The 26497-nt window shown below is 51.6% G+C and overlaps 1 protein-coding gene and 1 long non-coding RNA gene across 13 annotated transcripts in view, besides 4 other annotated features; one reads left to right on the forward strand and one right to left on the reverse strand.

Moving 5' to 3' along the window:
- IGSF22-AS1 (IGSF22 antisense RNA 1) overlaps positions 1-15514 on the forward strand; it is a 35407-nt gene extending 19893 nt beyond the window's left edge. The window contains exon 3 of the long non-coding RNA NR_186353.1: positions 14051-15514. This is a non-coding gene — a long non-coding RNA (IGSF22 antisense RNA 1). The remainder of the gene's footprint in view (positions 1-14050) is intronic.
- Positions 1555-26497, reverse strand: part of PTPN5 (protein tyrosine phosphatase non-receptor type 5) — a 64794-nt gene continuing 39851 nt past the window's right edge. For 3 of the 12 annotated variants that reach the window (NM_001278236.1, NM_001278239.2, NM_001039970.2), the window contains 12 exons: positions 17633-17826; positions 16949-16960; positions 16619-16702; positions 15889-16130; positions 14230-14419; positions 11507-11591; positions 7183-7262; positions 6862-6999; positions 6219-6329; positions 3285-3445; positions 3080-3193; positions 1555-2654 (listed from right to left, as the gene is read on the reverse strand). In NM_001278236.1, the coding sequence (NP_001265165.1) occupies positions 2561-2654; positions 3080-3193; positions 3285-3445; positions 6219-6329; positions 6862-6999; positions 7183-7262; positions 11507-11591; positions 14230-14419; positions 15889-16130; positions 16619-16702; positions 16949-16960; positions 17633-17826 (1505 nt within the window). In that variant the 3' untranslated portion in view covers positions 1555-2560. Of the gene's footprint in view, positions 2655-3079; positions 3194-3284; positions 3446-6218; positions 6330-6861; positions 7000-7182; positions 7263-11506; positions 11592-14229; positions 14420-15888; positions 16131-16618; positions 16703-16948; positions 17057-17632; positions 17827-20582; positions 20725-26497 lie in introns of those variants that run through there. The other 9 variants (NM_001278238.2, NM_032781.4, NM_006906.2 and 6 more) reach the window with 4 other exon arrangements.
- Positions 5107-5186: an enhancer, noted in NCBI's record as "active region_4509". NCBI's record gives its function as "activates an Ori minimal core promoter by ATAC-STARR-seq in GM12878 lymphoblastoid cells {active_cell/tissue: GM12878}" and the evidence as "EXISTENCE:reporter gene assay evidence [ECO:0000049][PMID:35858748]".
- Positions 5217-5356: an enhancer, noted in NCBI's record as "active region_4510". NCBI's record gives its function as "activates an Ori minimal core promoter by ATAC-STARR-seq in GM12878 lymphoblastoid cells {active_cell/tissue: GM12878}" and the evidence as "EXISTENCE:reporter gene assay evidence [ECO:0000049][PMID:35858748]".
- Positions 5542-5661: an enhancer, noted in NCBI's record as "active region_4511". NCBI's record gives its function as "activates an Ori minimal core promoter by ATAC-STARR-seq in GM12878 lymphoblastoid cells {active_cell/tissue: GM12878}" and the evidence as "EXISTENCE:reporter gene assay evidence [ECO:0000049][PMID:35858748]".
- Positions 22736-23618: an enhancer, noted in NCBI's record as "H3K27ac-H3K4me1 hESC enhancer chr11:18770656-18771538 (GRCh37/hg19 assembly coordinates)". NCBI's record gives its function as "activates a minimal SCP1, AML or CMV promoter by ChIP-STARR-seq in naive H9 embryonic stem cells {active_cell/tissue: H9 hESC(naive)}" and the evidence as "EXISTENCE:reporter gene assay evidence [ECO:0000049][PMID:30033119]".

The following is a 26497-nucleotide window of genomic DNA, read 5'->3' on the forward strand; positions in this document are numbered from 1 at the left end:
GGAAGGAGGCTGAGGGTGGCAGTCCAGGGGTACTTTTTTTGTTCCCTTGTGGTACAGGTTTTGGCTCTCACTGCTGCTGGGTAGGACCTCTCTGAGCTGAGGGGCTCAGGGTAGTGTGTGTGCACAGGCACACACTCAGGTACAGGTGCATGCATAGTCCAGCAGGGCTCAGGGAGCAAAGCAACAGGTCTGTATTTTCCAGGGACTGGGACACGGTGAACTGGGGAGGGCCTCTGGGATCTGCTGCGTTGCTACACAAATCCAGGGGTTCCCATTCATGTTGCACTCCTATGTGTGGTTCATACACAGCCTGAGTATCTTTACAAGGCCACCCTGGGGAAGAACAGGGAAATGTTAGGTCTCCTTCCTCTTCCCACTTCAACAGCCCAATCTCCCTAATCTGGGTAGAAGAGTAGGAGGGCCCATCCTCCGGGGGTTGTGGGGAGGTCTCTGCTTGAGGGTGACTGGAGAGTATGGCCACCTCTTCTCAAGGACTTCCATCTGGGCTGCTTCAGCCACCTGTTGTTTTCTTTTCTTTTCTTTTTTTTGAGATGGAGTCTCTGTCACCCAGACTGGATGCAGTGGCACGATCTTGGCTCACTGCAACCTCTGCCTCCCAGGTTCAAGCGATTCTCCTGCCTCAGCCTCCTGAGTATCTGGGATTACAGGCGTGCACCGCTACGCCCGGCTAATTTTTGTATTTTTAGTAGAGATGGGGTTTCACCATGTTGGTCAGGCTGGTCTCGAACTCCTGACCTCATGATCTGCCACCCCTCGGCCTCCCAATGTGCTGGGATTACAGGCGTGAGCCACCGTGTCCAGCCCACCCTGTTGTTTTCTCATCATCTGTAGCACACCCCGCATGCCTGGACCCTGGATCCCACCCAAGGTTCTGGCACCTTGTAAGGACTTGTTGGTCAGCACCCTTGCCCTGGACCCCTCCTTCTGCCCTGGGGTGACCCCCACCTGCCAGCAGTGGCATCATGGCTACTTTTGCTCCATCCCAGGGGGGCAGGGGACAAGAATAGAGCAGGAGTGTCCAGGATGGCTCAGGATCTCAGCCCACATGCAGATTCCCTGGGCCCCTTGGGAGGAGCTACTCTGAGCCCAGGCCTTACAAGGGAAATTACTGGGCTGCAGCTGCTGTTGGGATCTGTGGAGCTAACATGGGATAAGAGTTTGGCCAACAGGGAGGGGCCTGGGTGTGACCTGAATGTCTCCTTACCCTAGCCTTGGCTTCTCTGGCACATCTGTTGGAAATGGTGACCTGCCAGCCACTGTGCCTTCCCTGGAAGCCTTCCACACCTGTCCTTGAGGCTCCCCATGGCCCAGAGCATGTGTCAGGGCCAGGGCTGAGGCTGTGTGAGAATCCTGCAGAATGTTCCCAGTTTGGCTTTACAAATTTGGACTCGCTCCATACTCCCAGTCTCCACAAGGGGCTCCAGTGAGCAGAAGGGCCAAGCTCACTGTGCTCATGCTGGGGAGGGGCACAAAGACCCAAGTACAGGAAGGAAGGCAGTGGAGGGGAGAGGCAAATCACACAGACCCAGGAGGTTAGTTTTGCTCAAAATGCTCCGTTTATTGCTCTATTCAATGACCACGAGCGAATTATAAAAAGACACCAAATGTCTCTGTCTGCCGTGGGATAAATATTTAAAGTCAGCAATAAAAACACGTGGCTCCAAGATAATACATGTTGCCAAAGAGTCATGCATGCCCTCCTGATGGGCTCTCAACACACGCATGGACATGGGAACACACGCAGAGCAACACGCAGTGAGACTTCTGGGAAGGCTTTCCCACAGTGACACAGAAAAATGTCTCACGTAGATCTGGGCTGAGTCCCCACCCAAACCTTGAGCTCCCCTCCCCTCCCCAACAGGGCCTAGATCCTCTGGGTTCTCCATGCCCCATCTGCCCCCTACCTTGCCAGTGCCTCACAGGCTGGGCACCCTCCTGAGAGCATCTGACACCCAGAGGCCACCCTGGCTGTGATGCCCACTCCAACCTAGAGAACTCTCCCTCAGCTGAAAGCTCTCTGGTGACCTTCTGGAGCTCCCCATGCCTAACTCCCCGTCATCTGCCTTTTGGGAGAAGTGCGGGTGAGGCCGAGGCAGGCAAGTCCGGTTGCTTAGGGGCTGGAGCTCATTACCCCTTCCTGGCTGAGGAGACACAGTGTCCGGTACAGAGGGCAGAGATGGATGGACAGACAGAACACATTGCAGCAGGACACAAAGTGTAGCACGGAAACATTCTGGATCAGGTATTGATGGAACCATCGTTAAAAACTGGAGCCCGGGGTCTGCGTGGTGTGGGTCAGGCCCCGGGGCCCCAGGCCTGGCCTGGCATGTCCCTTCCCGACCCTGCCCCCCACTCCCCAATATGTACAGTAGGAAGAGCAATGCTGGAGGGTAGGGGTCAGGCCAGGCTGACAGAGGACAGAGGGAGCTGACTGAAGGGGAGGAAGCGGGGAGCAGGCCCAGGACCCGAGGCAGGGCCCTGGGTGAGGGCCGAGACTCAGGCTGGGCAGTGCCCAGAGAACCTTGTAGGAGAAGCGCAGTCATTCTGGGGACTGGTGGGACAGCTGCTTTTCGTAGAGGCTCATGACGTGGTGCACAAACTGGTACTGCTCGCATGTCTGGATCATGCCGCCCCTGCCCGGCAGAGATGCACAGTGGGGGCAGGGTCGTGGAGGGATGGGCTGTGGGAGGTGCCCCAAAAGCCATGGAGTAGCAATCACTTGCCAGGCCTTGCCCCTGTGCGTCTTGGAGAGACCAACCCTTGCCAACCATTACCCTCTGCCCCTTCCTATCAGGGACACAGATGACATGTCCTACCACTTTCGGCCTCTGTCCTTTTATCCACCAGCTCTGCTTTTCTTCCCTCTTCATCTGGCCCCCCACTGTCTGGATCCTGCCCCTCTACCCAGCTGTCCTCGCTACTCCTTGTCTGCCCATCAGTCCGTGCCAGTGTTTTCCATCTGCCCCTCACCCCCCGCCCATGCACATGTGGGTCTCTCCCTCTACCCGCTCGGGGCTCTAGCTCCCTTGTGTGTCCCCACTCCCGCCCGTGGGCTGACCTGTCCTGACGGAGCTGGCACGTGGTCTTCAGGATGTCCACCACACCCTCCTGCCGCAGCTGCTGGCAGCAGATGCTGGTGGCAATGAAGCAGCCGGTCCTCCCAATCCCTGCACTGAGGGCCGAGGGGACCGGTGGGGTGAGGGGCAGGGCAGCCCAGCGGGTGGGGGGCTGCCCCGCTCCAGTGGCTGGCTGGGAGGACCCACCTGCAGTGGACGATGATGGGGGCACAGTGGGGCCCCTCCTGCTGGGCTGCCTCCTCCACCTCCCGCACCAGGTGCAGGAGTGGGGGGGCCCGGTCTGGGGTCTTCTGGTCGGGCCAGGATGTGAACCAGTAATGCTTCAGGCCTCGCTCCTCAGTCCCACTCTGTCGAGGAGACAGAGGCCCACCCCAGGTATGTGTGAACTCTTTCAGCTCACAAACCAGCCCAGAGATAGAGATGAGATGGAAGGAGGAAGAACACAGGAAGAACACTGAGAGTGGGACCCCTTCACCCTTCCATCTAGGCCACATTGCCCAGTGGCACCAGACACAGACCCAAAGCCAGCTTGGTTTTGGGGGTTGGTCAGCAGCGTTGGCATGGATCTTGCCTTTGGTCCTGCCCCAACAACTTCAGGATCATCCAAGAGGGGCCAAGAGCCCCTTCTCCAATTTATTACTATCTCCAGGGTTCCTTATCTTAACAAATGGTCCCCCAGTCATCCCTTTGTCACATAACCCAGCCCCGGGACTCTTCTTCGCCTCTTGCTGTGCCTCGCCTGCGCCTGCGTGACTCGCCTCTATCTTAGTGCTGCAATTAGTGCTGCAAGTTTTACCACCTCTTCACACTCCCCGCTTCACTGCCACCTTGACCTTTATCATTGCTCGAGTGTGGGAGATTTCTGCCTCATCCCCAACTGTCTCAGATCCACAGAGTCAAAATAGTCTGTGTACAACACACATCTGGACATGCTGCTCTCCTGCTGAAAACCTGTGGCTTTGGACTGAATGTGTGTGTCCCCTTAAGTTCACATGTTGAAACCAAATCCCAACATGGTGGTATTTGAAGGGAGGGCCTTTGCGAGGTGATGAAGTCATGAGAACGGAGCCCTCACGAATGGGATCAGTGCTCTTACAAAAGGAGCTTTCACTCCTTCTGCCACGTGAGGACATGACCCTGGAAGTGGGTCCTCACCAGGGTCACGGTGCCTTGATCTTGGACTTCCCAGTCTCCAGAACTGTGAAAAATAAACCTGTTGCTTACAAGCTACCTGGTCTATGGTATTTTGTTATAGCAGCCTGAGCAGACCACAACATCCTTCAATGTCTCTCACTGCTCTCAGAATAAGACCCACTCTCCTCAGTCCTTCACCTGGCTAGGAAGACAACTGCTACAGGGCCTGCCCTTCCAGACACACCTCCTGCCCCTGCGTACTTGTACTCAATGCTCCCACACTCCAAAAGGTTTGTAGGTAAAATCTCAGCAGCACACACAAACACATGTGCACACATACATGCACACAAGTGTTCCATCTTCCATGTCCTTACTTTTATTATTTTCTCACTGGGAATGTTCTCCTGACTTGTTTGCCCCTGGTCAACTCTTACTTATCCTTCAAGACCCCATTCAGCACCACCATGTACAGGAAGCCCTCCCTGAGCACATCAGCTGGCAGAGTGTCCTTCTTTTATACATATATATATACACACACACCTATATATATATTTATATTTTATATATATTTTATATATTATATATTTATATTATATATATTTTATATATAGGTATAATAGGATATGTATATCATATATACATACATATATGATATACATATCCTATATTCATCCAATATAACATCATATGATATACATATCCTATATTCTATATACCTATCTCTAGCTCAGTACTTACCATCTTATACAATGCTTCTCAAGGAAAGAGTCCAAGCTTTGGGAAGCTCTGTGTTCACAGTATCCAACCCAGAACCAAGCTCAGGCCAGGTGCTCGTAATGTCTTATGGACAAAAGTAAATTCCCTCAAACTCCAAGATGCCCTGGTTCTTCCCTCATCATCTCCATGGCATTGAGAAGGTGAGCAGCCCTGCCTCATCTCAGCCTGTCTTTCTGGGGAATTTCTACTCAGGAAGCCATTTTCTCAAGTCCTGAGTTACCTGGCTGTGACAGTGACCACTACTTCTGCTTTTCACTTCCTGGCCCTTCATGCCCTCCAACAAGACCTGGATCTTAGAGCTGCTTGTGGGGGCACTGCTCTTGGGGGCTGAGATGCTCTCGACACCCTACCTGGCCCCTATTCAGTGGGAGAGGGAACAGCTCAGAGGGCCAAGTCTCCGGTCTTGTGCTCAGTAACCCCTGTGGCTGTCAGCATCAATGAACTTCCTTGGCTGCTCCTGGATAGGGCATCAGCTTCCTGATGCCTGGTTCACCTCTTCCAGCCTTTGGGGTTATTACAATTACAGCCTTCCCTAAACATGGGTCTTATTTCTCACAAACAGAATCCACTAATCCCGATTTCAAAGGAACAGTCTCCTCTATTATGCTGATCCTGGAGGAAGCACAACTTCAGGGTGGGAGGATACCTTCTCCCACTCTTCTGGGCTGTTTTGTATTGCTCATATTTTGTGTGTCTTCCTTTTTCTTGCTGTTTTCTGTAACCACAGCCCCCTGTACAACCCCAAAGCAGCAAAGAGTGCCTGCCCTCTTGTGGACAGATTGGGCACTACAGGCCAGAAGCCCAGGATCCCAGGTGAAGAGATGTTTCTAAGGAGGATCTCAAAGTCATGATGAACCCTCAATTATAAGCACAGTGCTGGAGGCTGCTGAAGTCCCCTCATCCAGACAGTCCTGGCCTTGGGTACATTTGAAGCATAGCTAGAATGCATTATGAATGACAGAGTAGAGAGACAGAGAGAGCCCAACAGCATGAAATGTAACTGAGGACTGGGAAATGCAAGGGGTTTGATTCTACCTCTGGCTCCCAAGTCCATTCACCTCTCACTCATCCGTAATTATCAGAAAATCTGGGAGTGACACTGGCTTTTATGTCAGTTACAGTGGACTTGGGGGACCTGTTCTCTGTGGAGCCCCCAGTTAAGCCCCTACACTCATCCTCAGCTTCACCCAGCCCTGCCCCAGGCCTCACCTTGAGGGAGATGAGTCGCAGCCGGTAATCCTCCGTGTGAATGACTTTCTGCACAGTGATCTCAACACCGTCGTACGCCACCTGCTCCTCCGGCCAATACTCGGTGCATTTCTGCAGGGGCCCAGATCAGGCTGCCATACAATCCTGTTCCCTTCCCACAACTCTCTACACTCTCTTCAGGGCCAGCGGAGAGATACACAAGGGCAACAGGGTTGCTGCTACAGAGTGTTGGGTTCAAATCTCAGCTGCAAACTCTATAAGCTACTTCCGTTTCCTGAGTCTCAGTTTCTTCCTCTGGAAAACAGAAGTGCTACCCATCTGAAGGACTTTTATGGAGATTCGGTTAAATGGGCCCTTATGGGTACAGGAGTAGCCAACATCTGTCCTGGCAGGCTGGGAGGCAGCAGAGTGCTGTGTTTAAGGTCACGGGCACTGGAAGTGGAGAGGCCACCTCCAGGCATGCCTCTATCTGTGAAGCCCGGGGCAAATGACTTAACCTTACCGAGCCTCACATCTCCTCATCTTGGCAGCGGAGTGAACACCGCCGACCTCTTGAGATTGTCATAAAGATTAATTTGAGAACAAGATACTTAGTGTAGGGCGCAATGTAGCAGACACTTAGAATGGGGACGGGGGTCCCTACCTCGTTCATCTCCTCGATGTTGGTGATCATGACAATGATGGGCGTGTGCTCCTGCCACACCATGCGCCAGAAGTCGGCGACCGTGCTGACGATGGGTCCCTGAGTGGCGATGTACACCTTCTCCTCCCCACCATAGCCCTGCGGCCAGCCAAGTCCAGGCTGTCAGGGTCAGAGGCAGTGCTCCCAGGACCCCATCCCCACACTCAGGCTCTTCACAGGAGCTGGCAGGAGCCAGACTGGTGTAGGGACAAGGCTGGAGGATGGATCCCATCGACTCAGGCCTCCCCTTGAGCAAGAGGCCGTCAGGGTGGGAATACGTACCCGGATGTAGTTGGCATTGATGTAGGAACTCAGAGGGTCGTCAGGGTCTGGTGAGGTCAGACACACTCTGCTGTGAGGGTCTGGGGTGGTGGGAGACAAGTAAGGCTGGAAACTGGGCCCTCTGGTGCAGGACCCACTTGCTCTGGCCTATTCCAGCATACCCACACTTCTTCTGCGACATTAGCAGTTCTTCCTTCCCTTGCCCAGCAGCAAAACATTGACCCATTCATGGTTCATTTTGTAGGTGAGGACTCAGGATGAGGAGGAGGGTGGAGAGAGAGGGGGGTCCCCGGGTCTCTACCTCTGTCTCTATCCTTAGCCTGTGCCTCTTAAGTTGCCCTATACTCACTGCATCTTAGCTTCTGGAGAGGAGACAGCTAAGTCAACAATGGAATTACCTAGGGAAATTCCTGTACAGATCTTGTTCAGCAAGAGACAGCTAGCTTGAGTACACACTGTCATTGACTTGCTGTGTAGGCTTGTAAAACACATGGCCTTTCTAAGCCTTAGTTTTCCTATCTGTCAAATGGAGGCAAAGATGCCTACTTGCTTGGGCTGTTGGGAAGATGAATGAGAAAAGAGATGTGAAAGTTCTGTGTAAACTGTAAAGTGCTTTATAAATATAAAGGGCTGTTAAGATTCGGGAGTAGAAAGTTGACGGAGGCTATTAACATGAAAACGATAGTCTCCTCTATCTGGATTAAGACTGTGGGGTCTCAGCCTCATGTCCACATATGCAAAAAGGTTTTTTTTCCTTTCAATTTATTCACATGTCAAATCCCATAGTAAAAGGGTCTCTGTCACTCAGCTGGAGTGCAGTGGCACGATTATGGCTCGCTGCCGCCTCAAACTCCTGGGCCCAAGTGATCCTCCTGCTTCAACCCCCTGAGTAAGCAGGACTAAGCCATGAGCCACTGCACCTGGCTAAATTTATTTTTTTATTTTTATTTGTTTATTTTGGTAGAGATGAGGTCTTGCTATGTTGACTAGGCTGGTCTCCAATTCCTGGCTCAAGTGATCCTCCTACCTCGGCCTCTCAATGTGCTGGGGTTATAGGCATGAGCCACTGTGCCCAGCCCCCACTCTGCTCTTCTTCCTGGAGTAGATTTTGTTTTGTTCCAGCTACAGCCTCTCTGCATTGACTATTCTGTCAGCCTGCAGAGGCCAAGACTGAGGTTGTATGGGGTAAGGGGGAAGCTGGCTGGGGCCCCAGATTCCTGGGTTCTGGTTTAGTTTTGTCATCAGCTCACTTGTCCAGGCCTCAGTTTCTTTCCTATAATAGGGAGGACTGGACTAAAGGCACTTCCAGTGTGCACATTAGGAGGCTCTCACAGGCAGTATAGGGGAGTCATTAAGAGTCTACACCGCTGAGCCAGAGAGGCTAGGTTCAAATCCTGATTCTGACTTACTAGCAGTGTCAACATGGACAATTTACTTTATCTCCCTGTGCCTTATCTGTAATCTGGGGATGGTCATTCCACAATGACCTTGCTTATCTTGTAAAGGAGTTAACTTTAACAACTAGAGTCCTTATGCCAGTAACTAGGACCAACACGAAGTATCAGTTGCTGTTATTCCTGACATTATTACAAGTTCCACAAGTTAAAGGATAAAAAGAAGGATCCTAAACCCAGTAGGAGAAATTGGGGAGGTAAAGGGCACAAGCTTCGCCTCTTTAGCCCAACCCCAATGTCTAAGGTTTTGGCAGGTGATTTGGGGCAGTTCTTGTGAAGAGGGGGTGTAGAGGGTGGCAGGGATGGAGAGGAGACAGGGTAAACGGGAGGGGGGCTTTTGGGGGACCTGCAGCAGAGAGGGGCAGGAAGCTCTGTATGGGCCGTCTCCCTTCTCCTTGTCTGCAGGCAATGCTGTTCTGTCAGATTCACGTGCACAGTGCAGGGTAGGGAGTGGTGAGTGGTGAGGCTGGAGAGGAACCAGGCGACAAAGGGTCTTATAAACCAGGCTTAGAAAGCTGGATTTAGGCCGGGCGTGGTGGCTCAAGCCTGTAAGCCCAGCACTTTGGGAGGCTGAGGTGGGCGGATCACTTGAGGTCAGGAGTTGGAGAGCAGCCTGGCCAACACAGTCAAACCCTGTTCCTACTAAAAATACAAAAATTAGCCAGAAATTGCTTGAACCCAGGAGGCAGAGGTTGCAGTGAGCCGAGACTGTGCCACTGCACTCCAGCCTGGGCAGCAGAGTGAGACTCTGTCTCCCCCAAAAAAAAAAAAAAAGCTGGACTTAAACCTGAGGATTACGAGGGTGACAACAATGATGGCATTTAAGGAAGAGAATGACACAATTAGATTTGTTTTGCCTCATTTTGGTGACAATGGTAGAAGATGGAGAGGAGAGTGTGGAAGCCAGAAGACCAGTTAGAGGTTTACTGCAATGATCCAAGTAAGAAGTGTCAAGGATCACAGGGCTGTCCAGCCTGGCACGGCTCCAGGGGGCACTTATGTCAATGTAGTCTATGTAAATTGTGTCCCCTGGAATTGGACAACATGAAAGCCCTAACCTCAAAAACATCATTTGGCAGTGAGGCTGGAGAAGAGGATGTAGATTTGAGAGATATTATTCATTCATTCATTCAAATAGGTGCAGACCCCGGCATGGTGGCTCATGCCTATAATCCCAGCACTTTGGGAGGCCGAAGCAGGCGAGGACAGCTTGAGGCCAGAAGTTTGAGACCAGCCTGGTCAACAGAGCAAGACCTCCATCTCTACAAAAATTAAAACAGTCCAAATAGGTGCAGAATGTCTACCATGTGCCAGGCAGCACTGCTTTGATGCTTGGGACACGGCGGAGAAGGGGACAGAAATTGCTCCCAGCATCTTGTTCTCAATGCTGCCTGTGGGTTACTGTTCACTCTGACTGTAACTGTGCATGGACCTCTCTCCCCCGCTAGGCTGGAAGCTCCTTGTGCACAGAGTCTGTGTCCTATTTATGTCTAAATCCTCAGCCCCTGGGGCAGGAGCCGAGGAAATGTGTGCCCAGTGAATGAGAGAACAAACCTCAGCGCGTCCTGGATCTCAGAGGCAGCCTCTGCTCAGCCTCACCTGCCCTCTGCACCCCCCAACCCAGTCTCTGAGGGCACAGGCTCCATTCTTGCTGGACACAGACAAGATTCTTTATTGGGCTCGGGGGCCTGGAGGCTCAGGGCATGGTTGGAGGCAGCTCAAGCCTCTTGGAATGCAGCGGGGACTGCATCTGCACGGAATCCTAGTCTGCTCCCACCTTCCCCCAGTGGCCATTCTGAGCAGCCAGCAAAGTCCAAGGTTCTAGGATACTCGAGTCCCTCCCTCCAGGTAGGGCTGGGATCGGGGAGGGCAAGACGAGGGAAGAGGTGAGCATCCCTGAATAATGCATCCTGGCCTTAAATGGCTCTTTGTTTAACCGGAACTACCTAGAGACTGTGTAACCATAGCAACTACAAGTCGATATTTTAAAAGTTAAAAATAAGTCATGACATCTTACATGTTGTTGGAGATGCTGATGGCAAAACTGCTTTTTAAAAGCCTCGCTACTCCACAAACTGAATGGAGTAGGTTTATGGGGATTCACTTTCAACAAGTCAACGCCCAAGCTAGCCCTGGGGACTGGGGTCAGAACTTGGCGAGGGTGGCAGGCTCATCGAGGCTTGATAAAAGTTATCTGAAAATGATACCCCAGGGCTGAAAGAGGAGCATCAGGTCACCTGGTCTAACTGCCCCCAAAGGAGGAAAACCCCTTTCAGACCTTCTAGGGGACTGCTCGTGCCGCCTCACTTGAATATACTGAGTAATGGGGAGCTCACTCCCTGACAGAGACAACTCATTTGCCTGTGGGAGTGGATGTCCCTGTTAGAGGGCTTACAATTCGACCACACTCCACACAGTGTAGACAGAGAGCCTGACTCTGGGATCACAGAGGCCCAGGTCTGAAATTCAGCTCTGCACTTCCTAGCTGTGGGACTGCAGGTGAGCCACTTAACCTCTCTAAGCCTTAACTTCCTTTCCTTAAAATCTGCCCACTCTGAAAAGAGTTTCGGTTACCACAGTGTGGCTAGGAACTGCTGTCATTACCACCCTTTCTCTTTGGGTTTCTAGAGGGTCCAGCACAACATGTGGCCAGGCAGGGCAAAGGACCAGAGAGTGCTGTGCGAGGAAATGTACTCGCCTCTGGCCTCACCAGGGCAGCGCTTCCCTTCAGCCAGCAACCCCCAGCCCTCTGTCCCACCTCCTCCAGTCCTGTCACCCCTAGAGGCCCAGCTGAGGGTCCTCCTCAGGGTGAGGGGATCCCCAGGTGAAGCTGAGCCTGCCCCCATCCCTCTGGGACAGTGAGTACTCACTGGGAAGTATGGTTTTGTACCGGTTCTTCCGCACCAGCCCAGGGATGTCGTACTCTTTCGGATCCACAAAGTTCATGGGGATTTCCTGTGGAAGGAGGACACGGGGTGTGAGCAGCTATGGGCCCTCACAGATGTTTGAATCCAGGGGCTGCTGTGCCCCCAACTCCTAGCCCAGGGGCTGGCTTGAGTGCACGCATTCATTCAACAAACATTTACTATTAAGAGAGTTAGTGCTCACGACGCATTCAGAACAGTGCCTGGCACATGCTGAGTGTGTAATAAATATGATAATGACTATTGTTTATGGAGAGCCAGCCTGCCATATATAGACAGTCAATAAATAGCTGATGAATGAAGAAAAAGACAAAAAGTGACCTGGCCAATGGCTGCCTTCTTCCATGCTCCCTGGGCAGCATTCCTCCCTGGGCATCCCTATCTCGGGACCTAGGTTCGTGCTGCTTGCTCTGTGGTAACACACACCCCATCCTCATCTCATGTCCCGCCTCCTCTGAGAAGCCTTCCCTGATTCTCCAGAAGGAGAGAAGCCTCTTTCTGAGATCCCAGGAATATCTGCACCTCCCAACCACTGTCTGTGTCCAGAGCTCTGAGTCTGAACTTCTCTCCTGGCATGTGAGGGCTTCTTGAATCTGGCCTCTCTTTACTTCCAGTTAGGCCTGTTTCTCCCCTGTTGTTAATCTGCTGTTCTCAGTCCTGCCTCTGAGTCTGAGCTTGTGACGTTCTGCCTCCTGAGGGCGCTGGTCTCCCCTACCCCCATCTCTCCAAGTTGTTCCCACCCTTTAAAGTTCACCTCTGCCCGGGCGCGGTGGCTCACGCCTGTAATCTCAGCACTTTGGGAGGCCGAGGCAGGCGGATCACAAAGTCAGGAGTTTGAGACCACCCTGGCCAACATGTTGAAACCCCATCTCTAATAAGAATACAAAAATTAGCTGGACCTGGTGGCGGGCCCCTGTAATCCCAGCCACTAGGGAGGCTGAGGCAGGAGAATCGCTTGGAACTGGAAGGCGGAGGTTGCAGTGAGACAAGATCGCACCACTGCACTCCAGCCTGGGCAACAAGAGTGAAACCCTGTCTCAAAAAAAAAAAAAAAAAAAAAGTTCACCTATGAGTCTGTCTCCTCCTGACATCTTCCGGGATGACTCTCCATGCCTCTTGCCTCTGCATTTCCTTCCAGTCTGTCCACCAGCTTAGCCCCTGACTGCACCTAACTTCACACTGTTCATTGTTTTTGGACACACTAAGTATGGGCTTTGTAAAATGAGGATCATCACACTTTCCAGGATTGTGAAAATCAAAATAAAAATACAACACGTGCAAAACTGCCCCCAGAGTGGGTGCTCAGGCCACGCTCCTTCCTCAACAAAGACCCACCGGACAGGAAATGAGGTAGAGGATGTGATTCTTTCTCGAAGGGGAGATGATGGCAGTGGGAGCTCAGAGAAGGAGCTGAGGCTGGGGTGGTTAAAGAAGGCTTTCTAGAGGCATCTGGAGTGAGTGATGATGTGAGCAAAGGCACAGGAGGAGAAAGGCACGGACGAGACTGGCCCAGTTTGAAGTGGACAGTCCCTGCAGGGGTGGGGCATGGGGCATAAGGCTGGAAAAGGAGGCTGGGGCCACACGAGGTAAGGGGTGCTGATGGTGTATGCAGGTGGTACCAAGTTCTGGAGAACTTGGAGCAGCAGATCAGATGATGATGGAGGTCTTCTCACAGGGGAGAGCTACCCGGTCCAGACAGGCCCAGGGCGGAGGCCAAAGGAAGGGAGCTATGAGGGAGGAGGCACCTGCTTCTGTACCCCTGTGGCTTCTACCAGGAGGAACTCACCCCAGATACTCTTGGCCTCTTGCCTTTTCCTGCTCACAGAAGTGAGGAGTTACCTGTTTGGTGAATTTGGTTGAGGAATGGAGCTTTGGAGCCTCAGCCCCTTCCTTCCTCCTCCTCTCAGGGCCCTCCTGCCAGGAAAGAATTATAGGGGTGCCCCCATGCGGCAAGGTCCGAGATGTGCCGGCACCCCTGTGGAGGGTGGAAAGTGCATGTAATTCTGGGTCTCAGTATCGGGAGGCTCACTCTTGCTGTACCCTGCTAAGCCACATTTCCAACCTGTATTTTATTGACAACAAAGGTGATATTGTAATCTCCTATGCCTTAGCTCTTAACTGGCTGAGCACTCAGGCAGGTAAACAGGGGTGCCATTTATTGAGCCCCTCAAAGTCCAATAGGAGGCAGCTGGAGGCTGCTGCAGAAGCCAGGGTGGAGGTGATTAGGACCTAAGCTAGGGCCCCAGGGGTGGTAACGAGGGGAGGCCACTAGAGAGATTTCAAAGGCAGAAGAACAATGCTCGGCAGGAGGAAAGTGGGAAAACAGAAGAGTTAGAAGTGAAGGTTCTCTGTGGCTTTCAGAGCACAGCACTGGGCAATAAAGACTTAGCATTGTCACTGTACCTCCATCACCTGGCTGGGTGCTCTGCACATGTTATAAGTCTCTTTAATCTTTGCAACAATTCTATTATTTTCATCCCCATTTTCCAGATGAGGAAACTGAAGCTCAGAGGGAAAGCAGCTTGCCCAAGATGGTGGGAGAGCTGATAATAAAGTGATACTAATCTACTGCAGATGCTGAGTTCCAGGCACCACGCTCCACCACCTGGGCAGGTGGATGATTGACATGGGTCTGCACACAGTGGGGCGACCGGCTCAAGGGAACTCACAAAGAATTCCGCCTGCAGCAGGAAAGGGTCCAGGGCCTTTTCATGAAGCTCTTCTGCTTGGAGGACACGGGAGGCGCTGAGCAGGTACTCGCGGGCGGACTCCTCACGTGGGGACATGAGATAGCCAAAGCCCTCCTCGTTGCAGCCCGGAGTGCACATGTCCAGGGTCAGGGAGACATTGGAACCCCTCCTGGAAGGACCAGGAAAGGGAGTGTGAGCCTCAGGGGCAGAGGGACGGGCATGAGCTGGGGTCTCCAGGGCTGGGAAAATGAGGGAGGGAGAGATCAGCTGGGAACAGGGTGGGGTTGAGGAAGAGGAGTGGGAGTGTGACAAGACCCCCTGACAAAGAAGCGTGAATCTCAGCCCTGAGGCATTGGCCTGACTCCCTATCTCCTGCCTCCTGCAGTGGAGATGTTAACTTAGTGGGGATTTGGGGCTCCAGTTCTAAAAGTTCCATCCAAAGCTACCCCAACATGGCCTTACCCTGGACTCTCCTCCATCACCGTTGGAGGAAGTTCTACCCTGTGGTCCCCAGGAAGCTCAGAGAGGGGACACCTGCCTGAAGCACAGAAGCGGGGCTTGGGCCCGAGAGGATGGCTCCAGACCCTCCCCACTGCAGTCCCGGGCCCAACAGCCCTGGGATGAGGCTGCTGGTGAGTCAAGGACATATTGTCCAGGAGAGGCCAGGACCCCCGCTGTCAGGAAGGAGGGAGTCCCAGGAGCAGCACGGTGGCCGCAAGGATGTCTACAATGGGCAAACTCTACTATACTCAGAGTCTCAGACACAGGACAGGATGGGGCTTCATTACATAGAAAGAGAAACTGAGTCCCCATGAAGGGCCAAGAGTTGTCCAGGCTCTCCCAGTAAGGGGGTGGCAGAGCTGAAATAAAAAGCTAGGTTTCCTGACTCCACACCCAGTGTTCTTTCTGTGACATCACATGGGTAACTCAAATTTGGTGTGATCTGGCTCACCCACCTAGACTCTGAAACGAGGGTGTCTACACTTCTCAAAGTGTGCTCTGTGGAACACTATGAGCTACCCTATAAAAACAGGTTCTAATTGGGTACCCAGGTACATAAAGATGGCAACAATAGAAACTGGGGACTACTAGAGGAGGGAGGGAGAGAGGCGGGCAAGGGATGAAAAACTAACTGCTGGGCACTACGCTCAGTACCTGGGTGATGGGATCATTTGTACCCCAAACCTCGGCATTATGCAATATGCTCAGGTAACAACACTGCACATGCACCCCCTCAATCCAAAATAAAAGTAAAACAAAAAAATAGAGTTCCGTGGTCAAGTGACTTTGGGAAATGCCACATACTGCCCCCTTGCTGATTTACAATGAACATAAGCATGTTAAAGGCCCTGACAAGTCCTGCAGCAAAGAAAACCACCCAAACTTACTTGAGCATGGGAGAGTGTGTGTGAACATGTGTACACCTATGTGTGCGTGTGCAGTAACAGTATTTCTCAGCATTCATCTTGGGGCACTTTGATCTCTATGAATGACCTGGATAGCACATGTCTACACTGGCTAAGCTATAAGGCCAGCTCTGCCCTGGGCACCAGGAGTCAGAGTCAGGCATCCACTCTTCTGATCAGGAGCTAAGAGCTCAAGGGCCCGTGGAGCCCACCCCTCCTCCACCCCTCCCACCTCTCCTGCAGACCCATGGACTTGACGGTGAGTGAGGTGGGGTCAGCCTCAGGCTTGATGTCCATCACACAATCAAACACAGGAGTCTCGGGCACCGGGTCGAGGTCCAGGAAGTCATCCTCGATCTTCTCCTCCATCCACTCTGAGTAGGTGAAGGAGGGCTGGCGGCTCACTGACTGGCGCCTGTCCTCAGGGGGCAGTGGGGTGGGTGGCTCTGGGGGTGTCCTCAGGAGGTGCCACACCTGGTTGGGGTGTACAGCATCACAGATTTCGGACCACGCTGGCTGCCCCCCGTGTTCCTGGAGTGCCCATGGGATTGACGCCCCCCCACTCCCTCAGTGTGTCTAGAGCAGCTCTGCTCTCCTGGGAGTTGTCCACAAGGCACTGCCCCTGGCCTCGATGGGAGGCTCCATGCCCACTCTCCTTCCCTGCCCCTCCCTCTCCCAGCTCTCTGTTTCTTGTGGCTTCAGGCCTTCTCAGTGGGGCTTGGGAGTTCCTACACCAGTCTTCTCCCTGTCTCATCCCCTTTCCTTAGCCCAGATCACTGCAAACCAATTTTCGGAAAGAAGGAGGCTCTTGCCCCAGGCTGGCACACTTGTGCAAAGAGATAGGTATCCCTCCTTGCCCCACCCAGAATGTCCAGCCTATAAGTCAGATGGGAGCTGGTAGAAATCCAGGCCTCAAGGTCAGAGGAGGACAGCCTTGAGGTTGGGGTCAGGAGGCGCCTTACCAGGGTGGTAACGAGGACCAGGCCCACGGACAGAAAGACCAGCAGCAGACTGGGGACTCCCCACGTCCCAGAGTCAAGCCAGGCCTGGGGAACATCAGATAAACAGGTCAGGGTGGTGGTGGGGGCAGAGTTCTCAGCTCTTGCAATGATGACAAAACCAAGATTCTGAAAATCACGTCCCAGGTCTGGGATGGGGAGCAGGCAGAAGAACTTCAGGGGCTTGGAAGTATCTTCTGAACTCAGAGAAGCCCAATCTGGAGGTTGGGGAGGGTGGGACTAGAGGCCCCCAACAGATCCCTGCTACCCTAGGACTCCCCAAAGCTTACTTACCGTGGGTTCCAGCTGTTTCAGGAGCGTCAGCAAAGAGGAGACGAGGTTTGTGGCGTTCTGTGACCAGATGTGGCCATAACCGCTGAACCAGAGCACCCCACAGGCAAGCTGGGGCACAGGGGAGCAGGCTGAGTATGGAGCCGGCCCCCTTCCCCCGTGTTCCCCCAGCAGAGCTCACCTGCAGCCTCAACCTGGCCCTGCATGGAGGCTCCTGAACCTCTAAGGTCCAGACCGGGCAGCTGAGAGCAGGGCCCCGGTGCTGCGTGCCCGGGGAGGCCTCAGGACTCTCCTTGGAGAAAAGCTGACTGAAGGGAACCAAGAGAAAGCCCTTTCCAGAGAGGACCTCACAAATATGTACATCAAAAGAGTAGTCTCCTAGAAAGGCCTCCACAGACAGGAGTTCTCAGGAGAACCCTGTACGGCTGGGAGCTCAGGGGTCGGGGAGGCCCTGTGTTCTGGATTCTTAGGTTAGGGAGGCAGGGTGTGAGGTCTCAGATGCTGGTGCGGTAGCTCAGAATTCCAGCCTTCCCCTTATCCCAGCCTTGAGGGCTTGGAGCTCCTGAGGAACACCAGGGAGGCCCCTTATCCTCCTGCCTTCCAGGTGGCCATCCTGGGGAGGAAGTGGGAGGCTGGCCCTCCACCCACCCTCTCTCCAGACCCTTGTGAGGCCTGTGCCATCCTTACCAGGAACTGTGAGGCAGCGAACAGGCACAGGCTGCTCCTGACAGTGAGGGAGTGGCTCCCAGCGCCTCGAGGTGGTGGCTTCTGAGCTGGATCTGAGGGCGGCGAGGGAGGAGGGGGTGGCGGCATCTCTCTCTGTGAGTCCTGGAGCCCTTCAGCCTCGTCCAGTGCCTCCATCACTATCGGCTGGGGGAGACCTGTGGAAGATGGGCCATGCGGGCCGATGACTCCGGCCCTGTCCACAGGCAGGGCTCTGCCACCCCTTTTGGGGTGGCTGTGGCTGCCTCTCAATCTGGGATCAGTCAGCGTGGCTCCACTTCCAGCAGTCACCCTCGATTAGCAAAGCAATATTCACCTACCTTCGTCAGAAAGAGCTAAGTGTGGGTGGACAAATTATTTCTCTTTTATTTCTCCAGTAACAGAGTTAAAATGGCAGGAGGTTTTCCAGGGAGTTAATATAGTTGTATTTACGCAGCTTCATTCTTTTCCATTTCTTAAGGAAACAAAAAACAACCACCTCAAACTCAATTAAAAAAGAAGCAGCAGCAGGAAAAAAAAAAAGACATGGCATAACCAGGCCATGACCCTGAGCAACCCACCCATGCCTGCCCTGTGGATTTTTGTCTCATGTGGGCCATGCCCTAACTGGGGCTGGAGGCTAGACTCTTGACAAGACCACATCCATGTGCCCCCACCCCATCTCAAGACTCCCTGCACGATGAGAGGGGCTGGGGGCAGTTAGGGCGAAGTGCCGGAAAATCTTGGTGTAGCAGAATTGATACCAGATGTCTGGGGCCAGTTCTGGGTCTGTCCCTAGTGACTCCGGAGAGTCACTCCCTCTCTGGATCTTAAGTTTCCCCACCTGGAAGATGGGGTTTGGGTTCAACCCTAGTTTTTCTAACTGTGCTTTACAGAGCCCTAGTGTTTTCTCAGGTGCACAGGGGCTGAGGCCCTATGTCTGCCCCTCAAGGGCAGAAGCTCTGCCTGTCCCTGTACCATATACTGGATTTCTGCTAAGATTATTTCAAGGCAGAGTTCTGCTACTAAAGAGTCTGAATACCATTGGCTTAGATCTGAGCCCCTGGCTATAGCATGGGGATTCTAGCTGCGGCCACCTCAGTGAGTCCCAGATATTGGAGGTCTGCACCCAAACTCACAGGATTTAGTTTACTGTCAAGAAAAGAGGGACCAAAACATGGATGTATACAGTGTGACAGCTGGGAAGGGGCTGTCTACATATCATGCTGTATATGGGACAATGGACTTGGGTGACAACAGAACCATGTGGGCCCAGCATAGCCGTTTGTCCATGAGCTGCTCGCTCACTTGACAAACATTTACTGAGCACCTCCCATGGCCTGGATCAAGACTGTGGTGCAGAGAACCCGGTCCTGGAGCTGTGTTTGTAGCACAGGCTCCTGCTTCCCAGCCGGGCCCATTTCAGCTTCACTCCTTGCAGTTCCTCAGGTAAGCCCGCCCCCTATGCTTTGACATGCTGTTCTCTCTGCCTGGAACATCCCTCCAACACTCTGTTCCCCTCCCCTGCCTCCCACACACTTTGCCAAGGTAACACCTATTCATCTTGTAGACCTCAATCAGATGTCCCCTGAAGTAGGTCCTGCTCTATCACATACGAGCACCCCATGCCTCTCTTTCATATCATCATCATCATCAGCAGCAGCAGCAATATGCCTGGAATGTGCAGGGGCCCTTCTCTGTGTGCCTGGGTTAATTTTTTAATTCTTCACAGCACCCCTATGGAGTTGCTACTACTATTATCCCCATTTTACAGAAAAGGAAGATGAGGTGCAGAGAGGTTAACAGAGCTGCCCAAGGTTGCTTAGCTGGTAAGGGTAGAGGTGGCTTCAATCCAGGGCAGTCAGATAGGCTTCAGGCTACATTACACTTGCCATGGGTTGTAAAATAATTTTTGAATATCGTCTCCTCTACCCACCAAGAAGTTCCATGAAGGCAGAGTGGTATCAGCTTTGTTCATCCTCATGTCTACAGCATGTAGCGTAAGTCCTGGTGTGTAAGGCTACAATAAATGTTTACTAAATGAGTGAATGATGATGGGCAAAGGACACTCTTTTACTCAGTTTTTTTTGCCTGATAAATGGAGATAATAATACATACTTTGAAAAGCTGTTATAAATATAAATATATATATATATATATATATATATATATACATTTTTTTTTTTTTTGAGATGGAGTCTTGTTCTGTCACCCAGGCTGGAGTGCAGTGGTGCAATCTTGGCTCACTGCAACCTCCGCCTCCTGGGTTCAAACAATTTTCCTGCCTCAGCCTCCGGAGTAGCTGGTATCGCAGGTGTGTGCCACCATGCCTGGCTAATTTTTGTATTTTTAGTAGAGACAGGGTTTCACCATGTTGGCCAGGCTGGTCTTGAACACCTGACCTCAAGTGATCCACCCACCTTGGCCTCCCAAAGTGCTGGGATTACAGGTGTGAGCCACTGCGCCCGGCAGCTGTTATAAATATTTTAGATACTACAGACGAAACACCTAGCATAGTGTTCAGCATTTAGTAAGTACCCAATAAATGGCAGATTATAATGCTAACACATAATTAATTCTTGTCTTCAAAAGGCTCCAGTCTCGTGGCTAAAACAGACCAGTAAAGACATGTTTACAATACAGTGCATTAAGCAATAAATCTAAGTGCCAATGGAGTCTAAGAGGGTCACGAGAGGGTATCTACCTTTGTCCATGGAGGTTATAGTTCCTGACCACCTGAGCAGTCAGTTCAGATCCTGGGAGCAAGGTGAAAAAGGAAAAGCTACTGCTAAAAGAAGGATCACGTGGGAAGGCAAGAGTTGCTACTATTGATAAGCAGGGGGTTGATTTCTCAAGGGGCAAGGTCTCTGCCCACACACAGTTGACAGGTGATGCCAAATATGGAACGGTGGGAAGGGACAGACCCAGGGGTTACCTGGCTTCTGTGCCTTGGTTCTGCAGAGCACATACTTGGACCTTGGGCAATCCCTTCTTCTCCCTGGGTCTCAGTTTCCTTATCTGTAAAAAGAAGGGCTTGAACTAGAATTCAGCGCTTCTTAGATGTTTCTGCAAACCTCAGAGGAGAGGGAACATGGGACTATGGGGAATAACATGATCTTGGACTTGGCTGCATTTTTTTTTTTTTTTTGAGACAGAGTCTTGCTCTGTCACCCAGGCTGGAGTGCAGTGGCGTGATCTCGGCTAACTGCAACTTCCACCTCCTGGGTTCAAGCAATTCTCCTGCATCAACCCCCTGTGTTGCTGGGACTACAGGCACAAGCCACTGCGCCTGGCTAATTTTTGTATTTTTAGTAGAGATGGGGTTTCACCATGTTGGCCAGGCTGGTCTTGAACTCCTGACCTCAGGTGATCTGCCTGCCTTGGCCTCCCAAAGTGCTGGAATTACAGGCGTGAGCCACCGCGCCTGGCCTGTATTAAGATATATGGGTGTTCTGCATTCTACACTACGATATATTTGTACTCGTTTTGATATGAAAATAATGTGTTTTATTTCCCTCTCCTAAAGCTCTGAATCACAAATTTTGCTTCAGGAAGATGTGTGACATTTATCCTATGGCTTTGCCCTCAGGGATACATGCACCCCAGTCTGAGAAGCATGAAATTTGCCTGCAATAAAACATTATGCAGCCATTATAAATGACTCTGCTGATGAATATTTGATAACATGGGAAAAAATTTTGATGGTATGGACTAAGAAAGGCAAGGTTACAAAACAGTATAATCTCACTGACCTTAAAAATTAAGAAAGTACAAATATGTCTATAAAAAGATAGCAAATACCTGATGTGAGATTAGAGGTTAACATGAGATAGAGATCATAGAGCATGGAGCAGTGAACTCTTGGCACACAGTAAGTGCTTAATAAATGTTGTACACAGTAAATGGGAAGACTAAAGCCAGGTAGTAACACCAGTTCTTTGGGGTGGGGTGAGATTAGAGGTGATTTCATTTACATATCCTCAATTTCCTCTAATAGATAAATATATATGTGTGTGTATACATACACAGACACATGCACACATGTATTTCTAGTGAGAAAAATATTTTTTTCAAAAAGATCAAAGTTCAGAGTTGATATCAAGAAGCCTAGTCAGGATTCTCAGGTTTCAGGCCTCGACTCCCACCTGTCACATCTAAATGCATACACTAGGATGTAAGAGATTGACAGAGTATGCGAGGCTCTGTGAGACCCACCCAGCAGCAGAACAGCCACTCCAGAGGCAGGTCCCTCGGATAATGTGTGATCATTACTTTTGCATATGAAAGATAGGTTAACTGTCTTGCACATTATGGAGGTGGTAGGAAAAACTGTAGGCTCATAGGGCCCTAGATGTGTAGCTCAGAGAGGGGGAGGCTTACAATTTTTTTAAGACTACTGGTCACCTGGCAGCCCTGGGGACCAGATGCATCCAACTGATGGGTATTTACTGGGCAACTGGTAGATGTACATCTTTCAGAGCAGGATTTATTTAGATATTTTTCTGGGTAGAAATCTGACTTTTTTTTAATCCAGCAAGATATGTTTCAAACACACTCTATATTCTGCACATAATTTTTGGGGAGATGCATGGACCTCAGGTTAAGAACCCCTGATCTCGGGGGTGGGCAGTGGATGTCTGTGATGGAAATTGGTGTTAGTTTCAAAGATGGAGAACTGGGCTAGGAGCCTGCCACTCTGGTTTTAGTCTCTGCTGATTTGTGCCTGAGTCCAACACACATTTATTAAGCGCCGATTATACGTCAAGCACTGGGAACACAAAGATTCAATGTCATGCAATTCAGAAAAGTATTTACTGGGGGCCTACTTTGTCAAGCACGGGCTAGGCTCTGGGGACACAGCAGTGAAGGAAACAGCCTCCACTTGCACGGACCACTGTGGTCCTAGGCCCGTTTGTTCTTTTGGGCTCTGTCCTGCTCCTAGAAATGACGTCAGCTCTTATCCTTTCCCTGCCCTCTCCTTTACTCACTATCTTGTTCTGGGAATAATACCACCTCACTGGGCTGGCTCTCTGCAGTTCCCAAAGTGCCTCTGCATACGCAATTGCATTTGCTTCTTTTGACAGCCCTATGAGGTAGACACGATCATCGTCAGCCCTGTTTTGTCAGTGAGAGGCGGCTGCTTGTGTCAAGGGCTGGCTTTTCAATAGTTCACAGCGAGGTAGCTGCTTTGCCACGCATGAAACCCTGACTCAGAGGCAGCTTGCTGACAAGTGATTTAACATTGGGCTCCTCATGGACTCACCTCTTGCACAGGATGATGGGATTTTCCAGGCAAGAAAAATCAAGGCTTAGAGAGGTTAAGTGTCTTGGCCAAGTAAGTGCAGACCTGAGATTCAAACCCAGGGCTTTCCAGCATCAAGTGATGTTTCCATTTTGCCATGCCGCTTCTCAGTAAAGGGTCACTGCAGCAAGGCAGGGAGGTCCTATGTCTGGGGTCGGGGGAGGGTGGGGGGCAGAACCTTGAACCTTAATCAGCTGCATGGGGGCCACGGTGCAGATTTTGTGCCTGGTCCCCAGCTGATGAAGCCTCAAAGTATACATGTAGTATGGAGGGAAGGAAGCAAGCCCTGGAAGGCAAAGCTCAGTATCCCAGGCCAAAGCTGTAGGATCCTGGGTAAGGCATGCAGGCAAATGGCCTTCAGATTTCACCTGGGGCACAGGGAAACGCTATGATCCCTCTCCTGTCACCCGGCTCCCAAATCCCACCATTGAACTCTGCAGCTACTCTGTGCCCTGGAGCTGGTGCCGCCTGAGCTCCAGAACTGTGGCTGCTCCTGTCAGTGACTCATTCTTTGAGCTCCCAGGCTGCCAGCCCACCGGAACTGGAGTGGAAGGCTGGCTCAGTCTGTTCCTGTTTACATGAGAAAGCAAGCTCTGTCCCAGTTAGCTTTTCTTCCCTTCCCAATGTGGCCAGCGGTCACAGGGAGCCCTACCCAAAAGAACATGACACTCAGACCTGCCTGGACTTCATGAATTACCGGCTGTCAGAGCCTGATGGGCCCTGAGGGATATCTGGTTCAGCCCATTAATTTCTCAGATGGAGAAACAGGCCCAGAGAGCGGAAGTGGCTTGCCCCAGGTCCACAGCCAGCCAAGGGCAGAGCCTGAACGTTGAAGACTTACCGTGTGCTGGGTGCGGTTCCAAGTGCTTTACATGTAGTAACACATTTAATCCTCACAACAATCCCAGAAGGTAGGCGCTGCTCTTACCTCCATTTTACACATGAGGAAACTGAGGCACAGAGACGTTAAGTCTTGGCTGAGGTCTGCTAATAAATGGGTAGAAGCTAAGACTAGAACCCAGGCAGACTGCTTCCAGAGCCCATGCTATTAGCCACACACGAGATGAGACTAACTCCCTACTCCTAGGACCAGGCATTCTGCCCGCCACACCACGTCATTGGTAACAAGTCTCCAGCACTCCCACCCCTCAACCATCTGGGTGATGATGCTGGGCTCCATGGCCTGTCAACTGTGTCCAAAATGCCACCAGTAGACACTGACTTCTTGTTCATAGGATTGTTGCTCCTATCTCATTGTGGGGATGGAGGGCGATATAGGAGCGGTATGGGTGATCTTGGGCAATTTCCCAACAGCTCTCTCCTGTGAAGAGATGAATCCACAGGGAGGATTTGCCCTCCCTTATCCTCCTATCCTGCCAGCTTGGAGCCAGGTACATTGTCAGTCTTATGCTGTTCAATAGTCACAACTGTGCTGCAGGTTGACATGATTGCCCATGTCTTACATGGGGAGCCACTGAGGCACAGAGAGGTTAAGTGACTGGCCTGGGATCACATAGCCAGGCAGTGACAAAACTGGACTTGAACCCAGGTTGGTGGGTCTCCACAGTCTATGATTTTTCTCTTACTCCACAGAAAGGTCTGGAAACCCACAAGGGGGATTGGTGGAGCAGGTTTGCCTACCTGGCCTATTTTGAGGTTTTGCTTGGGTAGGTCCAGAATCAAAGGAGGTACTGCTAGAGGAACTGAGAAGGGCGGAGTGGTGGAAGAGTCTAGAAGGAATACACCCAATCAGCTACTTCTGCCACTGCAATATCACACCCTCAGCACTCCCGTGGGCTCTGAGAGGAACAGCCTGGCCTTGCTGGGCACTGCTGTGATCTCTGTTCTCACTGGGAGAGGCTGGAGGTGGCTCCCTATTTTCTGCTACCTTTTGTGGGTGTATAGCAGGCAAAGTAGGTGTTAGAGGATATATGGTGCTGAAGAGCAGAGTCCCTGAAACACGGCAAACACTAACCAAGCACTTGCTCTATGCCTGGCTCTTCACTAAGATTATCTCCTGCCTTAAAGATGTTCTATGTTTCAACCTCAACACTGACCGATAGGACTCCTAGTGAGAGAAGCCCTGGAGGAAAAAATTTCCAGCTTCTCCCAGCAAAGGCAAAAGCAAACAGGTGGTGGATTTGGAGTTCTGGGAATTTGTACTGGCTCTCTGCAACCCCTCCACCCTGTTAGTCCTGCTCATCAGTGAGCAACACGACCAAGAGATCCACGCAAGGAGGAGGTAGGAAGATGATAAGGGTTTGGGCCAGCAGCAAGTCCATCTCGGATGGTAAGCTGGCTGAAGGCAGGGCCCAAGTCTTGTTAATCTCCACACTCTCCAGGCAGGCAGGATGGGCGTGGGAAAAGGAATCAAATTTTGACATAAGAAGATTCTGGACTAAAACATGGGTGCTCACCACTTATCAGCTACATGACTTAGGCCAGTTGTTTAACTTCTCTGTAACTTAACTCCTGTGGTGGTCTTAAAATACGTCTGTAATTCTTCACCATTTCTCCCATCAATAGGTGGCATCTATGTGCCCTCTCTGGCTGATTGCCCTGATGGAGTGAAGGTGGCAGAAGTGATGTTATACGACTGTAAGGCTAGGTTATAAGAGTCCATGTAGTCACTGGGCATGGTGGCTCACCTGTAATCCCAGGACTTTGGGAGGCCGAGGCAGGTGGATCACATGAGGACAGGAGTTCGAGACCAGCCTGGCCAATATGGTAAAACCCCGTCTCTACTAAAAACACAAAAATTAGTCAGGTGTGGTGGTGTGCGTCTGTAGTCCCAGCTACTCAGGAGGCTGAGGCAAGAGAATTGCTTGAACCTGGGAGGCAGAGTTTGTAGTGAGCCAGAGAGCGCGCCACTGCACTCCAGCCTGGGTGACAAGCGCGAAACTCCGTCTTAAAAGAGCAAATAAACTTGCCTCATAGGACTTAGAGGATGCTGTGAATTAAAACATGCAAAATGCTTAGCCTGCTGCCTGGCACATGGTGAGTACTCAATAAATGGGAGCCAGAATCTAGAGATGATGGGGAAAGGGGAGAGTGAGGGAGAGGCAGCAGTAAGGATTTCCCTTTCATCTGCCAGATGAGCCCCCCAGGAGGACAATGGGTGCCCCACCTGGACATGGGCAGGGGCTTTGAGGCTGCTGGCTGGCAACTGGGGTCGGTGGATGGAGTGGGCATGGACTGGGGGTGGAGGAGTTTTGTCTCTGCCAGATAATTAAGTTCAGAATGCTAACAAGCTTTCAAAACAAAACACAACTCAAGTACTCTTTGGATGGGATATAATAAAATGGTTCTATCTGAAATTGCAAACAGCTTTGTTGCTGCAAACAAAGGCTCAGTTCTTTGTGCCTCTTTGGCGTGGAGGCCCAGAAGTACGAGGGTGAAAAGGGTCAATGAAACTCTGAGGGTGTTGCTTCCCCCAGCAGCTGCCCATGCTGAGAACTAAAAGAGCTGACAGCAGAGGCCCTGCGGCAGGGAGGTACCAGAGGTCCCCAGTGCCTGAGACTTAAGCACAAATGCTTGGGGAGGAAGGG

The sequence above is a fragment of the Homo sapiens genome, chromosome 11 (assembly GCF_000001405.40).
Source record: "Homo sapiens chromosome 11, GRCh38.p14 Primary Assembly".
Taxonomy (NCBI): domain Eukaryota; kingdom Metazoa; phylum Chordata; class Mammalia; order Primates; family Hominidae; genus Homo; species Homo sapiens.